General features: G+C 36.5%; 1 protein-coding gene across 5 annotated transcripts in view, besides 3 other annotated features; it reads right to left on the bottom strand.

The window, feature by feature from the left end:
- The window catches only part of TTK (TTK protein kinase), a 37,879-nt gene extending 29,077 nt beyond the window's left edge, over positions 1-8,802 (bottom strand). For 2 of the 5 annotated variants that reach the window (NM_001438341.1, NM_001166691.2), the window contains exons 1-9: positions 8,738-8,802; positions 7,469-7,621; positions 5,420-5,642; positions 4,959-5,065; positions 2,494-2,637; positions 1,903-2,017; positions 1,650-1,722; positions 1,471-1,565; positions 85-172 (exon numbers count right to left, since the gene is read on the bottom strand). In NM_001438341.1, coding sequence (NP_001425270.1) covers positions 85-172; positions 1,471-1,565; positions 1,650-1,722; positions 1,903-2,017; positions 2,494-2,637; positions 4,959-5,065; positions 5,420-5,642; positions 7,469-7,607 — 984 coding nt within the window. In that variant the 5' untranslated portion in view covers positions 7,608-7,621; positions 8,738-8,802. Of the gene's footprint in view, positions 1-84; positions 173-1,470; positions 1,566-1,649; positions 1,723-1,902; positions 2,018-2,493; positions 2,638-4,958; positions 5,066-5,419; positions 5,643-7,275; positions 7,347-7,468; positions 7,622-8,737 lie in introns of those variants that run through there. The other 3 variants (NM_003318.5, NM_001437890.1, XM_017011242.3) reach the window with 2 other exon arrangements.
- Positions 8,891-9,765: an enhancer, noted in NCBI's record as "H3K27ac hESC enhancer chr6:80713403-80714277 (GRCh37/hg19 assembly coordinates)". NCBI's record gives its function as "activates a minimal SCP1, AML or CMV promoter by ChIP-STARR-seq in naive H9 embryonic stem cells {active_cell/tissue: H9 hESC(naive)}" and the evidence as "EXISTENCE:reporter gene assay evidence [ECO:0000049][PMID:30033119]".
- Positions 9,201-9,320: an enhancer, noted in NCBI's record as "active region_24772". NCBI's record gives its function as "activates an Ori minimal core promoter by ATAC-STARR-seq in GM12878 lymphoblastoid cells {active_cell/tissue: GM12878}" and the evidence as "EXISTENCE:reporter gene assay evidence [ECO:0000049][PMID:35858748]".
- Positions 19,599-20,241: an enhancer, noted in NCBI's record as "OCT4-NANOG-H3K27ac hESC enhancer chr6:80702927-80703569 (GRCh37/hg19 assembly coordinates)". NCBI's record gives its function as "activates a minimal SCP1, AML or CMV promoter by ChIP-STARR-seq in naive H9 embryonic stem cells {active_cell/tissue: H9 hESC(naive)}" and the evidence as "EXISTENCE:reporter gene assay evidence [ECO:0000049][PMID:30033119]".

Below are 20,241 nucleotides of genomic sequence, written 5' to 3'. Positions count from 1 at the left end.
CCTTTCCCCAGAAAAAGCTCCATGAATACTGATCCTCCCAGATCAGGAACCCTTGCTTTATATAATGATATAGAATTAAAATACCTTTAAATTTCTTAATTCACAGGAATCATTTCCACTTGGTTTAGATCCAGGCACAACCAAATCTCGGCATTCTGATCTAGAGGTTTGTCTTTTACCCGTGAAACAAAATAATTTTAACATTAAATTTGAAAAAAAAAATTTTCAATGTATTTTTTCATCTCAAGTTGGATTTTTAATAATATACATACTTTTTATTGAAAAAAATCTCTTAAAAAGACATTTTTTAGAGTGACATAATTCCAATACAAAAGTGACTTAGCTAACAAAATTACGTGCTGGGCAATGACAAAAGTGACACAGGTGATCGCCTACTTCTTCATTATCTAATCAGTAACAATTGGAGTTAGGGTTAGACTGTGGGAAAGGCAAAGTATACAGATGAAACTACATTTCCAATTACAAATAGCTAAAGGATAAGAACCAGGGTATAGCACTTCTGTGGACCTCCACAGTACCTAGCATTGTCTATCGATAACAGGAACCAAGAAAATGGCTGCAGTTTTTCTGTTTTTGTTTTTAATTTTTTGGAGCGGAAGAAAATCTCCTTTATTCTTGAGCTAGGTATTTGAAATAGAGATGAACAAGATGAAATCATAGTGATAAGACTTTAAAGCTTAACCTTGACAAACAAAATGTTCTTTTAATGTCAATATTTAGTCAAGTCTAAATATAATAGAAATGTAATTATAAAAGATAGTAATGAAAAACAATCGTATTTCTAAAGTTTATTTGCAAAATGATTCTCTGGACTGTAAGGAGCCTTTTCCAATATAAATATTACAAATGTTGGTCAGAATTAAGAATAGGCCAAAATAACTCTCCTTTAGCTGAGCTACAGGCTACATTCCCATTTCTTAACAGGGAATAAACAAGCAAATTGAGGGAAGGAGAACACACTGGATGTGATGAACAGTAATTCATCTGTACCTAACCTGTCCCACTTCTTGAAGCACTAGACTCAAGCAAAAGAATAATCATCTATCCCACTGACAGCGATTCTCCCCTTGAACTATCTGGAGCAAATATTTGTTCCCAGACCTCCTTCTACCCGTTATGGAGACTCTCAAACAAAACAGGAAGAGATTCTTAGCAGACAGCCTACCCGTAAGTGACAAATCCTCAAATATCAGTCTTTTAAGCTTAATGTTGACTTAATATTTTTTCCTTTTAAAGCTCCTTTAATGAATATTTTTAATGAGTGAAAAAGCAAAACAAAGTTATTTTCTCCACTCATTCCTTTGTTCCTGACAACATTTAGAGATTATCTTCTAAAACTGAATAAAAATTTAATCATAATTACTATTACTCAGTAAAAGACTTTAAGACCATTCTGCCATTAATCTTCCCATACGGACAACAAATTTTAAAAATTAAAACTCAACATACCTTTTCATAAAACAAGGTACAACTGAATCATCTGTCTTCACATCACAATCTGGGCTATTTAGAAGGTTAACTGGGACTCTTCCAAATGGGCATGACTAAAAATATTTTGAAAGATTAAATAACCAACTAGGAAATAAAGACTATCACCACCTTAATCAAGCAGATTGAAAGTAACTTACCTGTTTAGTTTTGTTAGTTTGTCTCAATGAATTCCGGTAACCTATTTCTGCATCTTGTGGTGGCATGTTCTCTCTAAACAGAAAGAAAATACCCCCAATTTTTCAAAGAACAATATTAATATGTATTTCTACTCTACTGCTAAACATTATCACACACATGAAAACATATATGCAGATACATGTAATTACATTAAAAAACACAGATGTACTTACATAGAAGATGAACATTTAAAAACTGTTTCCGTTTCCTTACCCATATAAAAACCTGGCTTTAGTAGTCTGTCCTCTGGAATCACAACTGTTGTTCCTATTCTGTAAATGCCCAAGTGAACCGGAAAATGATTCTTGGGCAGTTAATACCGTAGATGCTGTAAAAATTTTGAAACTATGATTAAATTTATAAGAAATAAGACAAGTACAAAAAAGTGATCTTACAAATAAGAATATTTTAAAAGTCAATTCATAGGAAATACTTGTCCCCAAGTAAGATATGCAGACATGAAGATGATACCAAGATAATTATCTAACTACTTCTTCAAATTCTCTTAAATTATATAACTATTTCCCCAGGGTAAAAGCACATTCTCTATTTCCAAAAGCAAAAAAAAAAAAATTCTCTTGCTTAGAGTTGTTTTTCATGTGTTAACGAAAGTTTAGTTAGCAAAAAAGACAAATTTGCATGGGGTTGTAGAGACTTTTTTACTTCTCAGTCTTACCTCCTTTACAATTTAATCTTAGATTTTAACCATTCTACATAAATAATATTTTTCTATAAATTATTATCCCGAATCTTTATTTGAAGTACTACCTACCACAGAAAGTATTAGTATACCTTAATAGTTACCTGATAAATTCTTCTTTTCCTCCTCTGAAAGCAGCTGCTTTTTTTGGAGGTTTAAATTCCGCAGGGCAATTTCCAGCATTTCTAGTGGTACTGCTCCACGTTCTACAGCTTTTTGAAGAAGTTGTTTACTTTTTTTGACATTACCTAACAAAGCAAAAGATAATTGTCATTTTTAGGCAGTAAAATGCCCACCACCCAGACCACCCAGATACGTATTCATCAGGACCTAGAAAAAAAAATCAAAAAGACTTAAGCAAAAATATTTATTCCAAGGCTCATGTATTTTATTTCATAGGCAAGTAAGCAATCTCTCACTTTTTATGCAGATAACCAACTCTCTTCTGATAACAATGCATACCAAATAGTTTCCTTGCAATATGTAGCTGACGTAATTTTGCATTAGTTTATCACCACTGTCCACTTTCAGAAGTAACAGAAGTGTAACAAAGCAGTTACCAACAGGGGACAGCAAAGGCCAATCACAACAGTTAGAAACAGGAGGGCATTCTAGATGTTACAAAAGTGCCAAGAGCATCAGTCTCTTACAACATGCTATAATAAGTATCATTCATAATGACATTTAGTTAAGGGAAGGATGACATCTTTTGTTAAAGAGCATCTTCCATCAAAAGGATTTTCGGGGAAAAACATAATAAATACAGATTAATCTTTAGCTGTCACACTCAGCTATACCAGCCTGAAAAAGAATGCAGAATAACTGAGGAACTATCATAATTACCTTTCTGAGTATGGACAGATTACCAAAAAAATTGGTAAACTTACCCCTAGCATTTGACATATAAATATTAAATGTATACATCACATATCTTACAGAATATTATCAACATTTATGGGAGCCATTGAGCTATGCTATGCACTTGGTACTTAGCGTATAAAAATGCTTAAGAGATGATCTCTAGCTTCTGGTAGTTTATAAATTTTTAAAAATATCTTTGATAGTGCTTACATCTACATTTACTAAGTAGTGGTAGAATTTCATGTATTGTGTATTTTAGCACAAGAAAAGAGAGAAAGGCTTAAGAAGCTTAATTAATCAGATAGCTTAGTATTGAGATCAGAGATTTCTTTAAGAATCTGGTAAAAACTGAAATGTCCTCCATCCCTATAAAAATACTCACACACCAGACTCTGCATAGGACTTCAGGGATGCTGCATTATTTCCTGACAGCCAAGCCATCAACTGTGCTCAAAATAATCATAATTTGACCACACTGCATTACTGTGCAATGCATTTGACCACATTGCATCACTGTGCATTACTACCACATTGCAGATAAAGTGGTATAGATAAAGTTCGTCTTTTTTACAGATAACTCAATTTAAGAGTTTCAATATTTACATGTTCTAAACATGTAAAATTTATGGTTGTTATTGAGAGGCCACAATACCTCAAGAAATTTTCAAGCAGAATGGAGAGAAAGAAGCCTTGCCAAATTTTCTCTAACAAGCAAGGAGGAATCCATTTTTCTAGAGAAGAAAGGGATAATAGTTCTAAAAAGTAACCTGATAGAGCAAAGGACATATTGGAGAAGACAATTACTAGGACTCAGAAATCATCTGAATGGGTAACAATTCAGGGTTCTCAAATTATTTCTGAGTCATATAATTATTTTCTCCAGGCTCAATCCTGGGGAATACTCTCCAGTGACCAATCCCTGCTATGGAAACCATCATGGGGATTCTTCCAATAGTGTTAATATGTTTATCACTGGCAGTAAATTGGATCACAGTTGTAGCAGAAACAAGGCAGTGGGAGAATGGAAACACCTGGCCAGAGGGCAGACTGAGGGTGTATCCAAAGGCCCTGGAAAATGAGAAAAGACTAAGGAATGGCCAGGTTAAAAATGTCTTAGGAAGAGATTGTCTTGGTCCTACCCAAAAAAATCCAGACTATGAAGAACCAAGTGAGCAAGAAATAGTTTCTACAGCAGTTTACTTTTTTATTTTAAAGAACTACCAATTAACGCTACACACACACACACACACACACACACACACACACACACAGATATATAGTTTACTTGACCACCAAGTTACATAGCTACACTTTAATGTACATTTTGGTGCTATGAAACCATAGCATAAGAAAAGTTTATGTAAGCTCTAGATATTTAAAGCTCTAGCTTAAATATCTGATATCCTTCTTCCTACAAATACTCAGTGAAGCAGCTACTTTCCTTTAGATGTTTCCTGAATCTAACTAGTAGCACATACACAATGTTCATGCTCATTTCCCTGGATTACTCTTTATACATGGAAAAGCTAGTATAACAGATATTCTCTGCATTTACATTTAGGTGGCATTTTCTCCCCATATTCTCATCTGATCAACTTTAATGTCTTTTGCCTCAAATTTCCACTTCATATATATGATTTAATATTAGGAAGTAAGTTGTAATAAGTTATCCTTTACTTAAAATTTGAATTTGACATTTTCAGATTACCTTGTGACAGTTCAAATTGTGCAAAAGATATATGAACAAAAGCAAATTTCTTGCAGTTTGCTCTGGCCATTTGAAAGTAGTCACGTGCATCATCTGGCTCTTGAATACTGTAATAAAAGATTTGAGTCAAAATTTAAGAAAAAGAACATAGCTACTTAAATTTGATAATGCTTCATTCAATTTTCCAAAAAACATGGGATATTGCTTTTTTCTGTGGGTAAAATTAAATACTAATAAGTTATTTTAAAAAAATCTTTTTAGGCAGTTTAAAATAAGTAAACTGTTGTGGAAACGTGCATAGAAAAGAGTTTACATTAGTCTCTTGTTAACTATAAGCAAAAGTATTTGGTAAAAAAATTAATATTTTCTCACAATACTGCCATGTTTTTTATTTTCTCTCTTTGCAGTGTAGTTACATATTATGTAACATAGTTGAACATAGTTAAAATGCTAATACTTACGCTTTTAATTCAGCAAATCTCACTTGAATTCTAGCAAAACTCTCATTTTGGCCATATTTATCTGGGGGAAGCGCTTCAATTGCTTGACTGTAACGACCAATCAATTTATTTAAAAGAGCATCACTTAGCGGAACACTGTTTTTCTCTAGTTTGAGCAACAAACTCAACCAGTCCTCTGGGTTGTTTGCCATCATCATAATTTGGTTAACAGTTCCCGAGTTATCTAAATAAGGGGAACAAAATATATCACAAGAAAAGACATAAAACAAATGCCAAATTGCATTTTTCCTTCAAAATATAGTCAAACATTTGTACTGTCAGTATCAATGTACATAAAGTCCTTATAATACTTTTTAAAATTGTAAAAGTTCATATAAATACAAGTAACTTATTTATCGTGTATTTATCTTTTATGAAGGTATACTTTATCCAAAAGCTATATATTTTGAAGGAAAGAAAACATTTGGAAATAAGTGAGTTTTTTTGTAAGTAGCCTTTAAAAATTGTATGTAGTTTAAGAAAATTTTATGCTGTTGCAGGATAACTATAATTTTAGCATCCTACCTATCCATAGAAAACTAAATCTCTCCCACTGCCACTTGTACTAATTAACTTAGAAAATTCTCCCATCAATGATTTATTCATTAAACCTACTGCTCCAGTCCTAACATAACCTTCTTTACAACCTTAACCATTCAACATTATCTCTGTATACCTCATACTTACTTGTAAAACCAAACCAGCTTTACAAAAAATAAACAAATGAGACAATCATTTTCTTCTCTCCAAGTAACCTAAATTTCTGCTAGAGGCCCTGATAATTTCTTGGTCCAACAAACTCATAGTTACCGTGGTCTAGACCTTTGGAATTTATAGGACCTCTTGTGACTGTCAGGTTTCTCTCTGTGGAACCCCAACCAACAGAAACAGCAAGAATAACCTTCAGACAAAATGTTCACACTGAAATGTACTTTTTACTTTCTTCAGTGTTAGTTTTTTAAAAAGATAACTTGAATGTCAGTCTTCTGTTCAGGATATTTTGGTTATTACTAAGCAATATTAAATTCAGATTTCCAGAGAAGCTATTATTCCTTCTATTAACTTCAGTCACTTTCAACAAAGCCTACATCTTTACTTTTATAAATAAAATTTGTTTCTACTTTCTACTAAAATATAGTGCATGCATAACTTTGCTTTGTCGTTTTAAATTTAATTTGGTCTGACCTTAATTTTCTATTTTTACCTCCTATTGCTTTCCTAAGAAATTAGTCTGTGAAATGTCTAAAAAACACACATTGCCATCTGTGGCTTTGCAGATGCATTCCTCATGCCTGAGTACCCTATTCTTCCTCTAATCAACAAATAAAACATTTGTGTTTTATCATGCTAGTATTCCTATGATGCCCAGCATGCATTACAATGTAGCATAGTGAATATATAAATTCTCATCTAGAAAGAAACTATGGTTTTAAGCATCTTTGAATCTTCCTCAGTACTTAAAATACTCAATTGCCTTGATGTACAACCTTTGTTAGTGACATAATTAAGCACAATTATACTCCATTAAGATTTTGCTTAACACTAAAACTATCATTTTCTAGGTTTTTTCAAAGTGAACAGTCAGCCACCATGATTAGATCACAGGTTCTTCCATTTATTTTCAATTCCTCATCTATTTAAAGGTTAGTATAGATGTAAGAAAATTATCCAAAGGTCACCATTCAAATGACCAACCATTTGAAATACAGTAAAGAATCAGGCTTCTGAGCTAATACTTTTAGAAGAGCTAGAGTATTAAACTCTGGGCATTTTCACCCATTAATCATTGTTCAATAAATGTTTAAGTGCCTACCTACCATGTGCCAGACACCATTCAAAGTTCTGTGGATATAACAGACAAAAACCCTGCCATCATGTAGCCTGCATTCTAATGGAGGAGAAAGACAATAAACACATGAGTAAATTATAAATAAAGTGATTAGTACTATATCTTTACCTTAGAGGATACCCAACAAACAGTTACTAACTTAAAAGAAAAGAAAAACTCACCTGTAGTATCAGCAGAAATTTTATTCAAGCTTAGTTCATCAGTAAGGTCTTCATTTTTAAACTTATTTTTAATGTCTCTCACTTTGTTCATTATGGAATCAATTGTCAATTCTCTGCCACTTAAATCCTCGGATTCCATTTCTAAGAAAAAAACTGAACAGTCATAACTCCTACTTTAACTAGCATCAAAGAAAAAAATGCACTAGCTTTTTAGAACCCAGACGACTAAAGCATTCGTTTTGTGAACACATCTAAATGCAGCTATTATTAGGCTAGTATTAATGGAGGTAAGTGCACAACAACAAGGTACACATCTTTGTAATTTATTCACCAAGGTTTCATAGGCCAAGTATACTTTTTCCCCCAATATAACATCAATGACGTCACACTGTAGAAATCTGCAAATTTAGTGTCACTTAAAAAAAATATGATAGAGTGTTTGCTTGGATTTTGGTAGCGACATACACATAAAGATTGCTTGGATTCTGGTAGTGACATAGACATAAAGAATTCGTTTGGCAATGGGAATAACAATTCCTTTATTCGCCTGCTTTACTTGAGTAAATCTTCCAGTGCAAGTGCTTTCAAAGCAGAATATAAACATGATGGGGCTTTACTGATAATTAGGAAATCCGCAGATTTATTCTTGTGCATATCTAGCAGAATCACGATTTGCTACCTTAATCTAACACTAAGAAACTATTGTACTGGTACTGAGCACTTGCTTATCTGCATGGTGGTGGTGTTTGTTCAATAAAGTGTCTGCAGTCTTATTGTTAATCGTATCTTTGTGACTCTCAAACACCAACTCAGTGTCACTGATAACAATGCTGCCCCGTCTTCAGGTTTAACAATGAAAAAAAGTCATAAAGTTGCAGCAAGGTATCACTCCACCTCTTAAGTCAGGTTTGAAAGATAACTGTCAGATCACGGCCACCCGCTTCTTTCCCAGTTCTAACCCCCAAAACAAGAGAGACTGTCCTTTGGAAAACGATCTTGTGCGCAGGTACCCCACCACCCCTTCTTTCCAGCGTGGGCCACACCCACTTCTTACTTCCTCAACAAAACCTCCTGCATCACCCCACCGGCCAGACCCGCTGAGGCAGTGAGACATCCCCTCCCCCTCCAGCTCGTTTAGCCGCGTCGCATACCTGGCTCCGAGCTGCCCCCACCTCGCCCCACCCCTCACCGACCAGCGCTAACAATGAGCCCCTACACCGGCTGCGGCTGTTCCTCAGTGCGCCGGTGCACCGGTAAGACAGAACTTACCTACAGAAAGCTGCGCTGGGGAAATGAAAAGATGGAACCCAAACTCCTTTCCGCAAACACGTTTGAATTTCCCCGTCGCTATCACTACGGTCTCCTATTGGTCAATGCTAGCCACGTAGAAGCGACAGTCGTGATTGGTTCTTGTGCGACGGGGGCCGCCCCTCCTCCTGCGTCAGGCTAGGCCCGCCCCGGAAGAGCCTGCGGCCGCGACCCCACCCGTGCGGCGCCTGGGTTGGTAGGGTGCTGGCACTTTGCAGGCGTTCCCCGGACGCCCGTGGGCGGGCTTTCCTGGTCTTTCCAGTTTAACCAGGCCGAATTTTTGCCTGGGAGGTAGCCACTCCCGAGCAAACCTACCCAGTGAGAGGAATATAGGGGCAGGGACGGCTGCTCCTAGCATCAGGACCTAAAAGATGCACCTTGGGCCGGCCCTTTACTGACCCCACCGCCACCCTTCTCCTTCGTTTCCCGCGGTTCTCACAGCCTGGCTTAGAGAGGATGTGGCAAGAAAGGATCTTTCACTGAGCTACGTTCAGCCCTGCCGCCAGCTCAAGAATTTCAGTGCTTTTTATCCTTGAGCTTCTGCTTATGCCCTTCCATTATCCTTAAATGACTCCACGCTCTGTCTTCAAGCCAAGACCCTCCCCCTTGTCAAAATTCTGCGCAGAACTCAAGCGCCCATCGTGATTGCCCTGTCTGAAGTCGCCTTATCGGCCCCCCTCCCTCGAAGCCTGCCCCACTTAAGGGCTCAGGTGTCCTCAGGGGTAAAAACATCTCCCTAGTAATAATCTTCGCGGGTGCGAGGCTCTGCCGCTAAGTGGCTTTGTGGTCCAGGGCAACGGTTACTCCTCGTCTGCAAAACTAAAAGGGATGTGTCTGTTGTGCCAGCATTATGACATATATTCTGTGGTAGGACGGGTTGGTTTTGTGTATGTATAGGAAACTAACTGCAGCTGTCACTTGTTAACTCCAAAGCTATCCTTAGAACCCTCACATTCCCAGCTCTGGATAGCCACCCAGCTAGCGTGAGAGCCCTTCTCAATCACTTAATGCATCTTTCTGTGTCAGCTAGCTAGTATTTCTGCTTCAGCAGAGCAAAATGACTTGCTATACCATGGTTGGCTAATCACTTACCTTTGCACCATTGCATCTAATGCTTCTGCCTGGAAAGAGTTTATTATTCCTCCAATTCTCGTTGATCTGTTTGCGGCCTGATCACAAAGCTTGCATTTTCCTTAAAATACTGTTGCTGGATGACCTCACCCTAACACTTCTTTCTGTACTCTCGTTTGGTGGTCTCCTTCAGTCTTCTATTTTTAAATACCATCTATATGTTGATGGCTCCCAAATGTGTATCATTAGCTGAGCTCTCCTCAACTCCATACTCAGATATCCACTGCCTACTTATTAACATCTTCACTTACATGTCTCATACGCATCTTGAACTCAAAATGTCCAAAACCAAGCCCCTGATCTTCCTACCCAAACCTGTTTTTTTTACAAAATCTATAAAAGACAAATTCATTGTCTTAAATTTTTTAGCCCCAAAACCTTTGTGTCATCCCTGATCCCTTATCTAACTCATAAGCAGATTGAGTCAGGGCTGGCACAAGAGATTCCTGGACTCCTACCAGTTCTCCCCACCTCCACTGCCACCACTTCAGTCCAAGGCATCTGCATCACTTAACTGATGTTACCTGCAGTAGCCTCCTGGCTGGTCTCCCTGCTTCTGCCCTTGCCTCACCTCAATTTATTCTCTGACATAGCAAAGTCATCTTAAATCAGATTATGTCACTACTTTGCTCAAAACCCTTCAGTGCTCCCTTTCTAGCTCGGAATAAAATCAAAAGTCCTTGTGATGGTCTGTGACTATTGAGCACTTGAGTATGTCTAGTGCAACTGGGAACTGAATTTTTAAATCAATTAACCTTAATTGATTAATTAAATTTATATTTAAATTTGAAAACTGATATCTAATGGGATTATTTTTAAACTATTTAAAGTAATTTTTTTTGCTTTCTTTTTTCTAAACTTGCATTAGTCATGAATTTATTGGAAGACTTTTAAGTATACTTGGAACAATGTAAGTATATGAACCTACTTTTTCAACTGTAAATTTTGTGAGAACCAAATGCAGATGAAGTATTTCCAGTGAAAGTGTCTGAGTATGAAATGTGATGTACTGTTAAGTATAAAATACACTCTGGATTTTGAAGACTGAATAAGAAAAAGTAATAAACATTGATAATTTTAAAAATATCAATTACAGGTTAAAATGATATTTTTGCTATATTGAGTTAAATAAAATATATTATTAAAATTAATACCACCCCATCACAGAGGAGACTAAGAAGACATGACAACTAAATGCACTGTGATATCATAAACTGGATCCTGAAACAGGAGGATGACATTAATTGAAAAATTAGTAAAATTCAAATAAAGTCTGAGGTTTAGTTAATGAAAATGCACTAATGTTGGTTTCTTGGTTTTGAAAAATGCATCACAGTAATGCGAGATCTTAACAGAAAAACAATGAACAGTATACAGCAATTCACTGTACTATTTAATACACTTGGAATTTTTTTGTAAATTAAAAATTATTCAAAAATAAAAAGTTTATGAAAATTTAATTTCACCTGTTTCTTTTTATACTTTAATATGGCTAGTAGGAAATTGAAAATTACATATATAGCTTACATTGTGTTTCCACTGGACAGCGGTGATCTGTAAAATCCTACAGTTTTACCTATTTGACCTATTTATTTATCTTGTTTATTTTCTGACTCTCCAAACTTTACCCCCACTAGAATGTAAACTCCATAATACAGGAATTTTTGTCTACTTTGTTCATTACAGCATCCTTAGTGCTTAGAACAGTGCCTGGTACATTTGTAGGCACTTAATAAATGTTAGCTAAATACTAATATTTACAACCATTAGAGTATTTAAGAATCCTATTTTATTTAACACATTTGTATACTTCTTGCATCACAGTTTCTCATTTGGCTTTAAATCAGCTGCATCTGACAGTGAATAAACTTGTTCATTTTCAGAGTCAAGCCTTTCACAAAGCAATAAAATTAGCCATAAGATTATGACTTATTGTAAGATGGTAAGTTTCACATTTTTGTCACATAAACAAAAGTTTCGAATGTTTAACTTTGTCATTATCATCATGAAACTTTTTTGCTGATCTTTGACTTCTCTGTCAGCACAGCTGCCTTTTTTATTCCATTATTTATTTACTTATTTATTTAAATCCCCTCCAAGGAATTTTTTTTTCAATTATTGAGGTCATTGTTACACAAGCTCAGTAAGGCCCAAACTTTGATTTTAGAAACTAATTATTATACATGAATTTATTTTGTGCATATACAAAAGTTAAATTTCTGATCAATAATAAATCCAGTTCTTACAGCATGCAATCAGTTGTGTGCTGCTTTATGGTGGTTTATTCTGGATAAAACATTACTAGTGTATGCTGATTTTAGTGCATTTAGGAGTGACGTGAGCCCATAAGAATGTTGAGACCTGTATGAATACTGTCAGGAAAGCTAACTATCACAGAATGGACCAAGCCATACCCAAAAGAAAAGAAAATAATGCCAAGGAGAGGTACCAACGTACCTCATAGATCACAAAGAAAAACAGCAATGACAGCTTAGATTATGTTCTACAAAGGAAAACAGCAGTGACGAGTTAGGACCACTACTTGGACATCAGGTATTATTTAATCATGCAGGCAATAAACTATGCTAACAAACAGCAGAAGAAAAGTAGGATTCTCAGTTCCTATTTTTCTTTTTTCTCCAATATGAAGAATAGCAGTCAGACTGACAATCTTAAAAATAAATACAGGACAGGCTATATAAGAAAGACATTTAAATTCCATCCAAACTCTCTGACACAAATGAAGTGTGTGTGTATGTATGTGTGTGTGTGTGTGTGTGTGAGAGAGAGAGATAGGCTCTGGCTTTGTCACCCAGGCTGGAGTGCAGTGGTGTGATCTTGGTTCACTGCAACTTCTACCTCCTGAGCTCAAGCCATCCTTCCACCTGAGACTCCCAAGTAACTAGTACTACAGGTTCATGCCACAACACCCGACTAATTGTTGTATTTTTTGTAGAGACAGGGTTTTGCCATGTTGCCCAGGCTGGTCTCAAACTCCTGAGCTCAAGCAATGCACCTGCCTCGGCCTCCCAAAGTGCAGGGAAGCATTGTGATGGTCTGTGATTACCATCACACCTGGCCATAATTTTTTTTTAAATGTATCCAGGTTGGGTGCAGTGGCTCATGCCTGTAATCCTAGCACTTTGGGAGGCTGAGGCGGGGCAGATCACCTGAGGTCAGGAGTTCGAGACCAGCCTGACCAACATGGAGAAACCCCGTCTCTACTAAAAATACAAAATTAGCCAGGCGTGCTGGTGCATGCCTGTAATCCCAGCTACACGGAAGGCTGAGGCAGGAGAATCACTTGAAACTGGGAGGCAGAGGTTGTGGTGAGCCAAGATCTCGCCATTGCACTCCAGCCTGGGCAATAAGGGCGAAACTCTGTCTCAAAAAAAAAAAAAAAAAAAATATATATATATATATATATATATATCTCCATACATTTTCAGTCTCTGCTATATAGAGAGAGCCTCACGTAGTTGGTTAATATACCACAATATCCTGAAGAAAATAAGCAGGATATTGAAAAAAAACGTGCAAATATAATCCCAGAAACATTGCTGGCAATCTCTGAAAAGTCATAATAAGTAGAAGCAATGATAGAAAGCCAGAAATGGATGGACAAGTGTTACCTTTTTGGAAAAGGTAGAATTTGGAAGCTATTAATCTCTATAATCTCAATGTAGATTTTAGAATTTTAGACCCCTTCTGGGATCAATTACCGAACTGTTTGGAAGCAAAGATCTCTAGAAGCCAATGTAAATGCATTAAGAGCAGGCTATATAGAATATACTAAGTTCTGATTTTGATTGTTTGTATATTTAGAAAAGGGAAGGCCATAAATACAGACTATCTTAACTTTGGCAAATAAAATGATAAAGGCTCTCTTACTGCTTTTGTGGAAGAAAGGAGCAAGTAATTCCCATATGGTTAATGTGAAGTATTTCTGCAACTCTGGATCATTTTTCTCCAAGATCACTTGTTAATAGTTTGAGAACTTCAGGTTGATCCCTAGTAGAAGGTCTCAGAACTCTGTCTGTGGTTTTATTCTAAACTACATATCTTATCTGTGTCACAAACATATAAAAATAATGCTTAACTTTTCATATGAATTAAAAAAAGACAAAATTAGAAGATACTTTAAAAGGACAAAGTTGATAATATGCAATTTATAGAGATAAATGTAAGTCTGTACATTTAGATTTCTAAAAATAATAAAATTATCAAATACACAGTTAGAGTCTAGCCAAGATGAAGAAACATGGTTCAGATTTATTCTCTGAAACAACAGTAACAACAAAAACTATACAAAATAAATGAAATAATGGTTTTCAAGCATCAGACATCAGGCAATACAGTACAGTGATCCTTAAGAATAGTGAAACAAACAAGTGAGTCATAATGTTGCCTCCAGATTACTTACTGGTGAGAGTTTCCAAGCTTCAGTGTACAAAGGGAGAACCCAGGCATTGCCTGGTATTCTAAAGTTAGGAAGATGGAGTTCATAGTCTGGAATGGCCAAGGCAGGTGAAGTTCACAGGACAGCGTACCAGAGAAAAAGAGCAGAACAGAGAGAGAATTCTGGAAATCTGCAGAGAATGTCCTTGAGTCTCCAGCTCTGTATTGGTAAGTGCAAGTGTATGTGGAAACTATCACAAGACCAGAGGAAGATAACAACCAGGGGAAAGAATAAAAGGGAATAATGTCAAGAGCTCATAAAGGACAAGAAATAGTTTTTGTTCACAAAGCAACAAGTAGAAGACTCATGATATTGCCTTAGAACTGGAGCAAAATTAGCCCTACAGCATGCAATGGCCCAGTCTATAAAAGCTTAAGAGCAAACCTTAAAAGGATCAGTATTTATAGAAATATGAGAAAATCCAACTGGGTCAAATTTACAATGTCTGGCATCTAATTAAAAAATTACTAGGCACTTAAAGCAGGAAAATGTAAATCTAAATGAGGAAGTGGGGGTGGAAATCAGTCAATTAAAACAGATGCAGAAGTGGCACAGATTACCCACTAATAGACAAACAGTAATTATAACTGTATTCCATATGTTCCAGAAAGTAGAGGAAAGTGTAAACATGTTAAAAAGAAATATGGAATATATGAGAAGACCAAAAACAAATGTATAGAGATGAAAAATGCAATACCTGCAATAAAAATTATATTGGATAGGATTAATAGCAGATTACAGTCTGGAAAACAAAATATCCTAAACTTGAAAACATATCAATAATAAACTATGCAAAATAAGGCACAGAGAAGCAAAGAAACAAAAATACAAAGAACTTCAGTGAGTTGTGGAAAAACAATGTGGCATAATGTACATGTGATTGGAGTTTTCACAAGAAAGAAGGGAGAATTGAAGAATATATTTGAAGAAAAAATGGCCAAAATTTGTTTAAATATGTTGAAAACCATAAACAAACAAATTGAAGAAGTTCAACAGATTCTAAACACAAAAAACTTCATGAAAACAACACCTGTGCACATTATTACATTGGACAAAACTAATGATAAAGAGAAAATATTAAAAGCAACCAGAGGAAAAGTACAAATTAGATATAGATGAACAATCATAAGAACAGTAGACTTCTTGCCAGAAACAATGTAAGCTGGGCAACAATGGAGTGACATCTTTAACCCTTTTCCCATTTAGGAAAAAAAACTACAGTTGCCTGCCATCACTCATTTAATTTTACATAAACATGCTTTTTGAGGCTGAAGCAAATCTGACTGATTTTCAATGTGAAAATAAAATCTAAAAACTGCTCTTGGAGTTATTTCTAAACGTAACTAACATCAGAATTGTCTGAATCATCAGTATTGTCAGTTTTGAAAAAATTGGATTCATCAAATCAATCTTCAGCCAACAACTGTTTGAGAATGATGTTAACATCACACGTAGAAATGCTGTGTTTTATAGGATTTGACATTTTCAGCAATTGAGAATTACTATGTTTTGTAAATGGAAATACAAAACACCAGTACTAAAAACAGAATATTGTAATACTGTTATTATTTTATTTATTTTTTATTTTTTTGAGACAGGGTCTTTCTCTGTTGCCCAAGCTGGAGTGCAGTGGTGCGATCTCGGCTCACTGCAATATCTGCCTCCCAGGTTCAAACAATTCTCCTGCCTCAGCCTCTCAAGTAGTTGGGATTACAGGTGTGTGCCACCATGCCTGGCTAATTTTGTATTTTTAGGCTGTTCTCGAACTCCTGACCTCAAGTGATCTGCCTGCCTTAGCCTCCCAAAGTATTGGGATTACAGGTGTGAGCCACCTCACCTGGCCCAGAATGTTGTAAGTAGAATGATGTCTTTGTTTCCAAAGTCAATGTACTAGAATGATGCAAAAATAATAAAAGTGAGATATTTTGTGGCAAATTTATCTCAGGGTAAACACAGCAGCTACAGGCATGTATTCTTGGGGCAAACAGGAAAAGGGTTAAAATGCTGAAAGAAAAAGAAAAAATAATTCTATAAACCTAGAATTGTTATTTCCAGCAAAAATATTGTTCATTATGAAGGGAAAATAAAGATTTTTTTTCAGACATACAAAAGCTGAAATAATTCATCACCAGTAGAATGGCACCACAAAAATTATTAAAGGAAGCCTTCAGGCAGAAAAATTCTGAATCTACATAAAAGAATAAAGAATACTGGAAATGGTAAATATGTGGATATGTAAAAAGATATTTTTCTTATTTTTGAAATCTCTTTAAGAGATAACTAAAGCAAAAGATGATAACAATGTACTGTCAGGTTTATAACATATAGAGAAGTAAAACATGACAACACTCACACCAGTGCTGGGAGGAGGAAAATGAAAGAATATTATTTAAGGTTTCTTTCTACTCTACATAAATTGGTATATTACTTGTGATAAGTTAAAGGTGAACTCTATAAACCTCCATTCTCTATCATGGTAACTAGCCACATGTAGCTCTTGAGCCCTTGAAATGTAATTGGTCCAAAATGAATGTGCTGTAAGTATAGAATACACACCAGATTTCAAAGACATAGTGTAAAAAGAATAAAATTTACCATTAATATTTATATACTGTTGCAAATTATTAATATTATTATTATTAATTGAAATTACAATAATTTGGGAATATTACTTTTAATTTCACCTGCTTCTTTTAACTTTTAAAAAGTGTGGCTATTAGAAAACATATAAATTACATATGTGGCTCACATTATGTATCTATTGGACAGTGTTACTAGAAACCCTAAAGTAGCCACTAAAATCAAACAAACACAAGTAAAAGCCAACAAACAAACAAAAAAAAACACAGCTACTAAGTGAACAAAAGACAGAAAACAAAAAATATTCATTTAATACTAATGAAGCAGAGAAAGAGGAAAAAAGTAAACAAGAACAGATAGGAAAATGGAAAAAAGATAGCAAAACGGTAGATTTAAATCCAACTATATTAATAATCACATTAATGTACATGATCAAAACTCCCAGAAAATGGTAGAGATTTTCAGATGTATAAAAAAGCAAGCTTCAACTATCCACTGCCTTCACCAAACCCTTTTTAAATATGAAGGCACAAATAGGATAGAAATAAAATAAGGAAAAAGATATATCGTGCTATCATTACTAAAACACTAAAATCAGAAACACCTAACATGGCACAGGTCTCTGAAAACAGACTTCAGAGTGTTTGGTTATGTGAGTAAATGGCCTTTGATCTCTGATCTCGGGTACATTTTGAAAGTATTCTCAGACATGGATCTAGAGTGGAAACTCATCAGAAGTGAGTATGTCTGCTGGAAGTCTAGATAAAATGCTTTAAAGTTTAATCCTAGATTTTATATCACAATTCTTTAGATAGATGTGAAAATAGACATTATTTCTCTATGATTAACCATCAGAGAGAAATAGTTTTTGACACATTTCAAGGAACGAGCTATCAAGACAGGTCCCCAGATAGTTCAGAGTAGCTAATAAACAAAACATCTCTGCCAAAAACTACAGAGTGAAGAAATGAGATCTCATTGAAATAATTTGCCTAATCATTAGAATAAGTCCTCTAACTGCACACCACTGTCACCATTTCTACATTCTTCATGCCCCCAGGTCACAGATCTGGATAAGAGGACCAAAAGTAAAACAAGACAGAGAAATAGAAAATAAAAATGTAAATTAAAATGCTCTCCCACGATGTACTCTCTTAAGAGGTAAGTTGATATCCCTTATTATTAGCCCAGTTTTGCATTGCTATAAAGGAATACCTGAGGCTGGGTAATTTATAAAGAAAAGAAGTTTAATTGGCTCACGGTTCTACAGGCTGTATGAGAAGCATGGTGCCAACATCTGTTCAGCTTCTAGTGAAGGCCTCAGGAAGCTTACAGTCATGGTGGAAAATAATGAGAAGCCAGAATGGCACATGGAAGGAGCAGAAGAAAGACAGAGAGCAGACAGGTCCCAGACTCTGTTACACAACTAGATCTCATGTGAACTGAGTAGGAACTCACTCATCACCAAGGATACGGCACTAAGCCATTTATGAGATATCTGCCCCCATGATCTAATACCTCCCACTAGGTCCCCCTTCCAACATTAGGTATCACATTTCAACATTAGATCTGGAGGAGACAAACATCCAAACTATATCATTCTGCCTCTGGTCCCCCAAGTCTCTTGTCCTTCTTATGTCAGAAAATACAATTATCCTCTTCTCAGTAGTCCCCAAAAGTCTTAACTCATTCCAGCAATTCCAGCATTAACTCAATCAAAAGTGCAGCATCCAAATTCTCACCTGAGATTCAAGGACAATCTCCTTCCACCTACGAGCCTGTAAAATCAAAACAAGTTATTTACTTTCAAGACAAAATAGAGGTACAGACATTGTATAAACATTCTCATTCCAAATGAGAGAAATCAGCCAAAAGAAAGAAGCAACTGGCCCCACACAAGTCTAAAATGCCACAGGGAATACACTGCATCTTAAAGCTCCATAATAATCTCCTTTGACTCCATGTCTCACATCCAGGCACATTGGTGCAAGGAATGGGCTCCCAAGGCTTTGGGCAGCTCTGACCTTGTGACTTTGCAGAGTGCAGCCACCTACAACTACTCTGATGGAGCTGAGTACCTGCAGCTTTTCCAGGCTTTGGATACAAGCTGCCAGTGGCTCTACCATTCTGAGGTCTGGTGTACGGCAGCCCCCTTCCCACAGTTCCACTAGGCAGTTCCCTGGTGGGGACTCTGTGTGGGGGTTCCACCCCCACATTTCCCCTTAACATTACCCTAGCAGAGTTTCTCTGTGGGGACTCTGCCCCTGTGGCAGGCTTCTGTCTGGGCACCCAGGCTTTCTGATACATCCCCTGGAGTCTAGGTGGTAGCTGTCAAGCCTTCCTCACTCTTGCATTCTGCATACCTGTAGAGTTAAGACCATGTGGAAACTGCAAAGGCTTACAGCTTGTGCCCTACAGAGTAGTGGGCTGAGCTATACCTGGGTTCCTTTGAGCTGAGGCTGAAGCCAGCATGGCTGGGATGTGGGGAGCAGTATCCTGAAGCTGAGCAGGGCAATGGTGCCCTGGCCCTGGCCCCTGAAACATTTTTTCCTTCTAGGCCTCTGTGTTAGTCCATTCTTGCATTGCTATAAAGAAATACCTGAGACTGGGTAATTTATAGGAACAGAGGTTTAATTGGCTCACAGTTCAGCAGGCTGTACAGGAAACACAGTGCCAGCATCTGCTACTGGGGAGGCCTCAGGAAGTTTTTACTCATGATGGAAGGTGAAGCAGGGGCAGACACCTCACAGGGAAAAAGCAGGAGCAAGAGAGAGAGTGTCGGGAGGGAGGTGCATATACTTTTAAATGACAGGACCTTGCAGGAACTATCGCAAAGATAGCAACAAGCATGAGGGATCCCCCACAATGACCCAAACACCTCCCACCAGGCTCCACCTCTAGCACTGGGGATTACAATTCAACATGAGATTTGGGCAGGGATAAAATATCCAAACTATATCAGCCTCTGAACCTGTGATGAAAGGGACTGTTCTGAAGATTTCTGAAATGACTTTGAAGCCTTTTTCCTTTTGTATTGGATAGTAGCACTTGGCTCCTTTTTAGTCATGCTAATCTCTCTAGCAAGTGGTTGCTCCACAGCTTGCTTGGATTCCTTTACCTGAAAATGCTTTTTCTTTCTCTGCCACATGACCAGGCTGCAAATTTTCCAAATTTTTATGCTCTGCTTCCCTTTTATTTATTTATTTATTTTTTTTTATTTTATTTTATTTTTGAGACAGGGTCTTGCTCCATCATCTAGGCTGGAGGGTAGTGGTGCAATGTCAGCTCTCTGCAG

Source organism: Homo sapiens, chromosome 6 (assembly GCF_000001405.40).
Source record: "Homo sapiens chromosome 6, GRCh38.p14 Primary Assembly".
In the NCBI taxonomy this organism is placed as follows: domain Eukaryota; kingdom Metazoa; phylum Chordata; class Mammalia; order Primates; family Hominidae; genus Homo; species Homo sapiens.
Note: the sequence above shows the minus strand (reverse complement) of the source record. Positions and strands in the feature narration are given on the sequence as shown.